The 11,243-nt window shown below is 51.5% G+C and overlaps 4 annotated features.

Moving 5' to 3' along the window:
• Positions 6,008-6,544: an enhancer, noted in NCBI's record as "H3K27ac-H3K4me1 hESC enhancer chr10:81135469-81136005 (GRCh37/hg19 assembly coordinates)". NCBI's record gives its function as "activates a minimal SCP1, AML or CMV promoter by ChIP-STARR-seq in naive and primed H9 embryonic stem cells {active_cell/tissue: H9 hESC(naive and primed)}" and the evidence as "EXISTENCE:reporter gene assay evidence [ECO:0000049][PMID:30033119]".
• Positions 7,099-7,883: a transcriptional cis regulatory region, noted in NCBI's record as "chr10:81134130-81134914 region (GRCh37/hg19 assembly coordinates) targeted for CRISPR interference". NCBI's record gives its function as "positively regulates PPIF gene expression in GM12878 lymphoblastoid cells {active_cell/tissue: GM12878}" and the evidence as "EXISTENCE:mutant phenotype evidence [ECO:0000015][PMID:33828297]".
• Positions 7,099-7,886: a biological region, named in NCBI's record as "CRISPRi-FlowFISH-validated PPIF regulatory elements GRCh37_chr10:81134127-81134627 and GRCh37_chr10:81134130-81134914". NCBI's record gives its function as "regulatory_interactions: PPIF".
• Positions 7,386-7,886: a transcriptional cis regulatory region, noted in NCBI's record as "chr10:81134127-81134627 region (GRCh37/hg19 assembly coordinates) targeted for CRISPR interference". NCBI's record gives its function as "positively regulates PPIF gene expression in LPS-stimulated THP-1 monocytic cells {active_cell/tissue: THP-1(+LPS for 4hr)}" and the evidence as "EXISTENCE:mutant phenotype evidence [ECO:0000015][PMID:33828297]".

The following is an 11,243-nucleotide window of genomic DNA, read 5'->3' as shown; positions in this document are numbered from 1 at the left end:
GGGCAGGCATCAGAGAGACTTGGGGCTGGCCTCAGCTCCCCTGGGTCTGGGTCATCTTGTCATTGCCCTGCCTCCATGCCATTGATTTGCCTCCTCCCAGCCTCTCTGCCCCCAACTGTACACTCTCCAGGGCAACGGCCCTCCCCAGGTTGGCCCCAGACTGGGTGAGATTGTCGGCAGATGAGGTCACGCGTTCACTCAGCGGGGGGACTCCCGGGTGACCATATATAGGAGTGAATCTGCCTCAGAGACGGCAGCCCTGGGCCGCTCCCACTTGGCACACTCGGCCAAGATCAGGATATGGGCCCAGACAGGGAGCATCACACAGTGAGCAAACAGATCAGTCCAGGGGAGACGGGGCAGGGGCCCCTCTTCTGACCAAAGCCTGGGCTGTCATGAGGTGGGGCTCCTGCTGAGGGTCATGGGGAACCACAACGAAGCAAGACTATCAGCAGCCACCCACCTGCAAAGCCCAGCATCGGCTCTTGCTGTTCTCAACCTTGCTGCTCACCTGAGTCACCTGCGGGGCTTTAAGAACATCATGCCTTGGTCCCACCCCAGGGAGGCCAAGGAAGTGGTCCAGGGTGTCTGAGTTTGTAAAGCCCCCCAGCTCAGTCCATTGTGCATCCAAAGTTGAGCAGCACTGGACTTCAGATGGTCCCTAGTGTTCCTGTGGGACCCACGGTGATGGGGAGGAGGCAGGGGGCAGAGAGTCCTGTCAAGGGGGCGCCCGGTCCTCAGCTCCAGCCAACTGTTGCTATCTATGAATGTTGTTGCCTGGGGAGGGAGGGAGGGGCAGCAGGAGAAAAACTGGAAATCCCAGTTGTTATGTGAAATTTTCCATGTTTTAAATTTTGGCAACGAGTTAAAGAGTTAACTGGATTTTTGAATAGTGTAGAAGTCAAAGCACATCCCTATGGGCCATCCCACGGCCCCTGACTGTGGCCTCTGAGATGGAGCAGAGAAAACAAAATGCCAGTCCTTGGGGTCAGGGACCATGGATGTGAAGGGGGAGGGAAAGGCAGGAACAGAGGCCACCAAGGCCAGACCTCCTGTCTTATTTGGGGTACAGAGCAAATCCCAGAACAAAGCCCCTTCCTGCTGATTTGCATCTAGAGAATTCCCTGCGCGGTGCCTGCCCTCAGTGTGTGGAATGGCCAGAGTCACTGGCCTGAAAGCAGGTGGCTGCCAGTCGGGCCCAGCAAGGGAGTGGAGAGGGGACCCATCTCCGCCAGGGTGAGAGGAGAATGGACCCCCTCCTCCACACCATGCCCTCTGCCAGCTCAAGTCCTCCAGCAGCCTGGGTGGGGCTATTGCTCTTCTTGGGCAGATCTGAGGAAACAGAGCCGGTGTCTGTCTCAGGGTCCTCCTGTCCCCTTCAGCACTGCCACCAGGCCAGCCCTGCCACCCCAGCTGTGTGACACTGGGTGGCTTTCCCCCTCTCCAAGCCCCAGCTCTCCCCGGGGTGTTGTGTGGATAAGACAACCCACTGAACACAAGACAAAGCGCACTGCTTGCACCCAGGAGGGGCCCGGGGAGTGTGGGTCTCCTGTTCCCACTGTCTGTGGCTCAGGCAGAAGCATCCGACCAGTGATCACACCAGGGATTCCGCAGGGAGCCAGGCCTCGAACCCAGGGCCCCAGGTGCTTTTGCGCACCCAGTAAGCATTGACTGGGCACCCATGCATGTTGAGGCTGGGGCTTCAGGGCTGTTATTTGATGACATGCCCTTGTCTTTGAGTGTGTGGCAGTGTGCATGCGCCTGTGTGTTTGTTTTGTTTTGTTTTCTGTGGAAAGAACACAAACCCAAGGCAAACAGCCTGCATTTCAACATCTCCTGGAGCCGTGGAAACCAGTAACTCCCTGGACAGGAAGGATTTCCGGTTGGACTCAGTGCCCATATCCAGAGGCAGCTGGCTGCTGAGGACCCAGGAGAGAGCAGAGTCCACCAAAGAAATGGCCGGCAAGGGATCCAGAGAGGGTGGCCCTGCTCTGGGCTAAAGCTGAGGCCCCACCGGGAAAGGTCTCACCTAGCACACTCACCCAGCAGGCAGGTGGCAGAGCCAGGATTTGATTGAACTTGGAGTTCTCACCTCCCAGTGCAGCGTATCAGGGCAGAGCTGGGACAGACACAGAGTTGCAAAGGTCAGACCAGGAGTGAGGGTCCAGGGCTGGGTGGTCTCAAAGGGCAAGAGACCAGGCAGGAGGAAGGGAGGTGGGGTAGGTTGGTGCCAAGTGGTGATGGTTGCCAGGTTGTGAGGAGCCCCCTTGGCATCTGCTCCAGACACAGAGAGGGGAGACCTGGCCTGGGGAGAGACAGCGGGAGCTCAACCGCCTGAGCACCAGAGCCCATCGGGAGCCCAGGGCCCCCCCTGGCAGGACCCTGACAAGGCTCTACTTGGAATGTGTGACACAGAGCCTCATGTCCTTATCTGTAAGCTGGGGGCAATCAGGACACACTGAGTGGCAGGAGACACCTGGGCAGCTCCCGCACACAGCCCTGGGGTGGCCACCTCTCTCCCACCAGCCCCCACTGTGGTGCTGAAGCTCCCAGGCTCAGGCTACCAGCCGGCTTCTGCGCTGGACTCCGGCCATAGGCTGGAGTTCCTCCCGGTTTTCTGGCCTCATGCATCCTCCTAACAGTCCTGGCAGAAGCCAGGGCAGAGAACAACATGTCAGTATGTCGGGTGCATAAACTGAGGCCTGGGGAAGCCCTGCTGCCCCAGATTGACAAGCAGGGACCTCCACCACACCCTTCAACCTCCACTGTCTGCGCTGTTTCCGATCCTGACCAGGGCCACCGAGCGGATTCCCACCAGCCTGTCCAGTCCTTCCTTCAGCAAACAGCTGTCTGTCAGTGTGTCCTGGGACCTGGCCCAGAGCTCTGAGCTAAGCCTGGGACCCATAGTCTGCTGGGGAGTCAAGCCCCCACCTGCCCTCCTCAGAGACCCTGGTCCTCCTCCCTACAGCCTGGTAAACCCAGGGCTAGGCATCTGAATGCCACCCTTCCAGGGGCTGCCTCCTGTGCAGCCTGTGCCCGGCTCCTGCCCAGGTGTTTGGAAGTGGGGAGAAGGGGCAGGGAATACCCCAGATGAAGGGAATGAGGGCCGAGGTGGGCTTGCCATCTCTCCAAAGTCAGGTGTCCTTGCTACTCCCCCAGAGAACTGGAGGGAGCCAAGAACGGGCTGCGCTTGGGTATAAAGGCCACTCTCGACACTTTCCCTGCCGTTTGTTCTGAGGCTGGATCCCAACTGAGATGTCAGGGCCACTTGCTTCCCCCTGCCCACACACACACGCATCCTCACACATCTCACACGCGCACCTTCGCACATCTCACACACACACTCACACATCTCACACCCACACCCTCACACATCTCACACACACACATCTCACACGGGCACCCTCACACATCTCACACGCACACACACATCTCACACGCACCCACACACATTTCATGCGCACACTCACACATCCACACGTACATTCACACACATCTCACACGTGCACCCATACATCTCACACGCTCACTCACATCCCATACACATCACACATGCACCCACACACATCTCACACGTGCACTCACACATCTCATATGTGCACACCCACACAGCTCACACGTGCACCCTCACATCTCACAGTGCACTCACATCTCACATGCTCACACACCTCACACGCATCCTCGCACATCTCACACACACACCCACACACATCTCACACACGCACCCACACATCTCACACGTGCACTCACATCTCTCACACACATCTCACACACCCACACATCTCGCACATGCACTCACACATCTCACACGTGCTCCCTCACACATCTTACACATGCATTCACATCTCATACACACATCTCACACACCCACACATCTCGCACGTGCACCCACACATCTCACATGCGCACTCACACATCTCACACGTGCACCCACAAATCTCACACGTGCACTCACACATCTCACACACGCACCCACACCGCACACGTGCACCCTCACACATCTCACACACCCACATCTCACACATGCACCCTCACATCTCACACGTGAATCCTCACACATCTCACATGTGCACCCTCACATCTCACATGCGCACTCACATCTCACACGCACACTCACATATCACACGTGTACCCACAAATCTCACACACGCACCCACAAATCTCACACGTGCACTCACATCTCACACGCGCACCCACACGTCTCACACGTGCACCCTCACACATCTCACATGCGCACCCTCACACATCTCCCGTGTGCACCTTCACACATCTCACACACAGACCCTCATCTCACACGTGCACCCTCACACATCTCACATTCGCACCCTCAAATGTCACACGCGCACTCACACACATCTCACACGCGCACTCATACACAACTCACGCACCCACATACATATCTCACATGTGCACCCTCACACATCTCACACATGCACCCTCTTACATCTCACACGTGCACCCACACATCACACACGCACCCTCACATCTCACACACGCATGCACACATCTCACACGCACCCTCACACAACTCACATGCGCACTCACATCTCACATGCGCACCCACACACATCTCACACGTGTACCCTCACACATCTCACATGTGCACTCACTTCTCACACGTGCACTCATATCTCACATGCACACCCACACACCTCACACGCACACCCTCACACATCTCACACATGCATCCTCACACCTCATATGCACACCCACACACCTCACATGTGCACTCACACCTCACATGCACACCCTCACACATCTCATGTGCACACACCTCACACACGCACTCACATCTCCCACATGCACACACACATCTTGCAGTGCACTCACACACATCTCACATGCACACCCTCACACATCTCACGTGCACACACATCTCACACACGCACTCACATCTCACACCTGCACTCACACATCTCACACCCACACACATGTGCACACACATCTCACACATGCACTCACACATCTCACACGTGCACACACATCTCACACATGCACTCACAAATCTCACACACGCACTTACATCTCACACGTACACACACATCTCACACACACATCTCACACAGGCACTCACATCTCACACGTGCACTCACACATGCACACACAATCTCACACCCACACACACATCTCACACACGCACTCACATGCATCTCACACATGCACTCATACACATCTCACACTGTTGACACCCTCACATACACACCCATTTGCACACTCAAGCCTGCACATATTCATACATGCACAGCCCACAAACACACACAGCCACAGACCATCAGGAGTCCCATGGGGGCAGCGGGCCTGGGGCCCCTCTCCAGCTGGAAGGGCACTGCAGTAGGGTGGGGATCCTGCCCAGCAGGGTAACGAATGTCACGTGAATCTGCTCATCTCCTTCCCCACAGGCCCTGAGGCCTTCCCATGGGCTGAGGACCCCAGGTAGGCAGGCAATGTCACACCCAGGCCTTGCACACAGTGAGCAAAAGTCCATTCTCACAGTTGACGCAGTTGAGAGAATCTGCATTTTGTTCGGTGTCATAATGGCATTGGGATCATGTAAAAAATGTTCTGTCTTAAATTTTGGAGAATTTACGGGTGAAATGAGGCAGTGTCTGGGCTTTGCTCTTAAACAATCTGGAATAGGGTCCGGAGGAGAACCTGGGATCTGCTGTACTGCTCTCTCTGATTTGTGTCTGTTTTTGCTCCTGGCCAGGAGGTGAGCTTAAAGGTGAGCCAGGCCGAGGAGATGCCCCAAGGCAGAGTGGGAGCCGGGTCCCTCCACATCTTCACCCCACGCAGCATGCTCCACAGTCCTGACTACCTCCTCTAGAGGGGCTACTTGGGCTTGCTTCACTGCCGACCTCCAGTGCTCACTGTGGCCTGGCACACGGTCAGGTTCAATGTGGAGTAAACGAGCGTGTAAGAGTCGCTGCCAACATCCAGCCAGGAGCTGGTATGGCAGCCATGGTGCTAGTGATTCACACACATCAGTTTTGGTCCTTGTAACAGCCCTGGGAGGTGGGTACTATAAGGATTCCCATTTTACAGATGGGGAAGCCGAGGTTCAGAGAGGTCAAGTGACTTGTCCAAGATCATAGAGGTAGCAAGTAGCAAAGTCCCCCCCCGACCCCTCCCAGAACCTCTCCCCCTCCACTCCCTAACACCAGGGGCATTTCAGGCCCAGGCCTAACCCCTGCCTCCTGCTGCTTCCTGCTGTTATACTGCCCTCCCAGACAGCCAGGCAGCCACCAGCCTTCTCTTAGCCCTCTCTGTCTGTCCTGGGCCTCTCCTCACTGCCCAACCTGGCCTGCCTACCTCCCTGTAGTAGCTGAGTCATGATCCATCTAGGGCCGGCCCCATGGTTGTTGAAGGCCTATGTGGAAGCCAGAACCCAGGGGAGCCCCAGCCCTCCCTCCACCTCCTTCCTTACTAAGTTCTCAGGAGCTCCTGGGGGTGGGGGCAGCTCTGCTCCTGTTCCCACTGTGTCCAGCGTGATCGAGCCAGGCCAGGCCCCTGTGCCGTCTCTCCCTGGACACTTGCTCCTCCTTCCCTTCCATGCCTGGCCCTACAGCCTCCTGGAGCCCTGTACTGAGGCCAGTTACCCTCCCCATGCCCCATCCCAGAAGCACTCAAAGCTGGGAGCTGAGATTCCCCTCTACCATCTTCTCAACAACCCCCATCCTCTCCCTGGTCACTAGCAGGGGCCCCACAACCCTCCACACTCAGCTCCTGCAGATGGTGGGGCAACCCGGGGTCCAAGTCCTGCCTTGTAAGTCCAGGACCATGGTGCCTGCCTGGAACTCCATCTCCCTCTGCACTCTTATCCTGGGCAAGAACTCTGGGGCCAGAGGGGCTGGACCCTGAGTGACAACATCACTACTTATCAGCCGCCATCTTAAGCAAGCCACCTTCCCTCTCTGAGTCTCAGTTTCCTCCCTTGTAAAATGGAGATACTAATACCCTTCTACCTACCCGAGGTCACCGTTGAGATTAGTTGAGATACAATGGCTAAGCCCTTGGCACATGAGGTGTGCTCAGGAATTGTTAACTACTGCTCTGGTCATGGAGGGTTATGGCCACTTCAGCCTGTGCTACCTCTAAATGGGCCCCATGATTCCCTCTGTCTCTGCCTCCACTTGTTAGCCCTTGAGCCATGCTTTCTGGAACCTTCACCCTGACAAGATGACAAAGAGAAGCCCCAGGGAGGGACTTGGGTTTCTTGACTCTCTCTGGCCTGTGGGACATTCATCTCCCCTCCCCAGGCAGCCACAGCCTATTAGTCCAGTTCCAACTGGCCTTCTGCCTCAGTTTCCCCATTGTGCTGAGGCAAAGGACCCTTGCTCAGCATGTAATTGGTCATCCTCTCCCTGGGAACCTGACCACAGCCCCGCACAATGGTGGAGGCTGCTTCAAACTGGGTCTGCCTGCCCCACCCCAACAAACTTGCCAGCTCAGAATTCTCCAGCGTTCCAGCCTCTCGCAGCAATCAGCTGGTTCCCTGCTGCCCTCTGGTGGCCGAAGCTGAAAACTGCAACTTCCAGGTGGCAGGGAACCAGTGCAGGGGACAAAAGGGAATTTTTTTTTTTCTCCCAAGTCCCAGGTAAACCCTGACCTCCCCAGTACAGGGATACCTGGGCCTCATGCACCTGCCAAGTGGCAAGATTGTGTTTTTCGCCCTTGGTTATAAAAACAATGCCTGCACAATGTGAAATGGAAACAAAGACAGTAAGCAGAGTGTGGGCTACTCCCAGTAGCCCAACATCCCCCAGACCAGCACTGTCCAGAGTTTGGCCATATCCTTCCATAGTCTTTTGCTTATAGAAATCTGTGTGTGTGTGTGCGTGTGTGTGTGTGTATGTGTGTGTGTACACGTGTATGTTAATGGATTATACTTGACAGGCTGTTCCATATCCTGCTTCAACTCATCATCATCATCTTTCCCTGTTAACAGAGAGACCTTTCTCATTTGTCTAATAGCTGTATTCCTTTGTTGGTTAACATACTTATCAATTCCCTGTTGAAGGGTCTGAAGCATTCTTGGTTTTACAAGTCAATCTTTTTTCTTTTCTTCTTTATGAGACAGAGTCTCACTCTGTTGCCCAGGCTGGGGTGCACATGTGGCACAATCTTTACCACAGCTCATGGCAGCCTCAACCTCCTGAGCTCAAGCAATCCTACCTCCTCAGCCTCTGGAATAGCTGGGACTACAGGCACACACTACTATGCTGAGCTAATTTCTGTATTTTTTGTAGAGGCAGGGTTTCACTGTGTTGCCCAGGCGAGTCCTGAACTCCTGGAATTAAGTGATCCTCTTGCCTGGGCCTCCCAAAGTGCTGGGATTACAGGCATGAGCCACTGTGCCTGACCAATCTTTTTTCTTAATCACCTTTCTGTTTGGTACAGTGGGAAGATCTGGAGTCAGGAGAGCCAGGGTTTGACTCAGATCTCAGGCCACTGGGTTTAAAATTTTTTTTATTTTTAAATGACTCTTAACGATGCATATTTATGGGACACAGTATGATGTTTTGATACATGCGTACATTGCGTAATGATCAAATCAGGGTGATAAGCTTATTCATCACCTCAAACATTTATCATTTCTTTGTAGTGAGAACACTGAAAACCCTCTCTTCCAGTTATTTTGAAATATGCAATACAATGTCCTTAGCTACAGTCATGCTACTGTGCAAGAAAAGACCAGAACTGATTCCTCCTATCTAACTGTAATTTGGTACCTGTTGGCCAATCTCCCCCATCCCGCCTTCCTTCCCCAGCACATAGTAACCACTATTATACTCTCTACTTCTATGACATCAGCTTTTTAAAGTCCGCAAATGAGTGAGATCATGTGGCATTTGTCTTTCTATTTTTTCTATTTGTCTTCCTATTCTTGTTATCTTTGATCACATCCTTGTGATCTTCCAGGCCTCAGTCCCAATGTATCAAACTCAGGCATTGGGCTCCATCTCGAATCCTTCGCTCTGACAAGCTCCCAAGTCGATTATTCCATGTTGAGTTGATAGAGCCTACAGGCTGCCCTGGGGTCATCAATACAATTTATTAGGCTAGTGCTAGAAAGGGGCATGGGGGACCACACAGCTCTCTTGGGCATGGGGTCCAGTAAGCACTTGCACAATTGTGGGGAGGAACAGTCTGAGATTCTCCTGCTTAGACCTGGGAGGGCCTGGTCGGGGAGACTGAAACTGAGAAGAAGGCTGAGGCCAGACCCGCCTTCCTCCTCTGGCGCTCTCTGAGGGCACCTGGCCTGGCTGCTTTCTCTTGGGAGGGGAATGTGGGTATCCCACCACACTTCAGGCTGGAGTTCTTAGAGCCTGTTCTGGTTCCAAAAACTGTCTGATCCATGAATCACTCTTTGCTCAATTAAACTGTTAAATTTAACTTGTCTAAGGTTATTCCTTTTAATAGATTCAACTTGAAACATAAAGATACAAATAACTTAAAAGTAAAAAAGTGAAGAGTTCCACTTCTTGGAGGCAATGTGAAGAGTTCCATGAGCCCACTTGCCTGTGAAACAAGCAATGTTGGTGAAAACTGCTTTTTAAAAATTAACCTTTAAAGTCTCTGGAAATTGTCCTAAGGATATAGAGCAAATGAAGAAAGTCAGGCTCCCACTCTGCCTTGGGGCATCTCCTCGGCCTGGCTCACCTTTGAGCTCATCTCCCGGCCAGGAGCAAAAGCAGCCCTTGACCATAACAGTAATCATGACTATAAAGATAGTATGTGGGGACGTCACTAAAACTAACTCAATAAGAACAGCAGGTCTATGGCATTTGACACATAACTATTCCCTTTTCCTTCACCTTCAGCTCAGCTTAATGGAATCTTCTCATAAGGTGAGGGTGGCCAAAAAGACAAGGCTCCCTCTCCCCTCACTTCCCAATCAAGTATTTTCACATATTAGTGGGAGAGGCAGACCAATAACATTTTGCCCATCTCTCCCAACTCCAAGTTAAAGAAGCTAAATTCTGGATGAGTGCAGCTGAGAAGTGGGGGGTTTCTTTCTACACCCAGCCCTAACCCATAGAATAGTGGCTCCATCCCAGATTCAGAAGGCCAAAAACACTGGGACCCCAAATCTTGCTCCAGCTCACTCATAGAGCACAGGTTCTATGCTAGGAGAGGAAAGCCAAGAATATCAGAGGCTACCACCCTGCCCAGTCCCCAGAATACTGGCTCATCAGAAAGAGAAACAATCCATAAGAGAAAGATATCCAAATCTCTCCACAAAGGAACTTTTATTTTATTTTATTTTTGAAATAGTGTGTGGAAGCCTAAAGTGCTTTTGAAAACAAAAAATAAATTGGACTTCATCCAAATTTAAAATTTTTGTGCTTCAAGGGACACCATCAAGACAGTGAAGAAACACCCTACATAATGAGAGAATGTATATGAAAATCACATATCTGATAAGGAACTTGTATTTAGAATATATAAAGAGTTCTGGCAACTCAAAAGTACAAACACAAATAGCCCAGTTAAAAAAGTCAAAGGATCTGAACAGACTCATCTCCAAGGAAAATATACAACTGACCAATAAGTACATGAGAAGATGCTCAACCTCATTAATCATCAGAGAAATGCAAGTCAGAAATAAATGAAGTAGCACTTCACACTCACTAGGATGGCAAGAATAAAAAAAGATAATATCAAGTGTTGATGAGGATGTGGAGAAACTGGAACCCTCATACATTGTTGGTGGAAATGTAAAGTGTCACAGCCATTTTGGAAAACAGTTTGGCAATTCCTAAAAAAGTTAAACCTAATCATTTGATTCAGCAATATATACATAATACGTAAGGTGGTATAATACTATTTGCAGTTAGTCTTTGATAAGTTAAACAATATATAGTAAATCCTAGGGAAACCACTAAAAATATAGACTGAATAATTAGGCTGAGCATGGTGGCTCACATTTGTAATTCCAACACTTTGAGAGGCTAAGGCAAGAGGATTTCTTCAGGCTAGAAGTTCAAGATGGCAGTGAACTATGATTGTGCTACTGCCTGGGTTACAGAGTGAGACCCCAGCTCTTAAATATATATTTATATATATAACATATATTTATATATATAAATATATATTATATATATGTATATATAGCTGTGACATTTTACATTTCCACCAACAATGTATGAGGGTTCGTTTCTCCACATCCTCATCAACACTTGTCATTTTATACATATATATAAACAAATAGCCAATAATGGTGATAAAAATGAAATCAATTT

This window comes from Homo sapiens, chromosome 10, assembly GCF_000001405.40.
Source record: "Homo sapiens chromosome 10, GRCh38.p14 Primary Assembly".
Taxonomy (NCBI): domain Eukaryota; kingdom Metazoa; phylum Chordata; class Mammalia; order Primates; family Hominidae; genus Homo; species Homo sapiens.
This window is presented reverse-complemented; position numbering and strand designations above follow the sequence as displayed.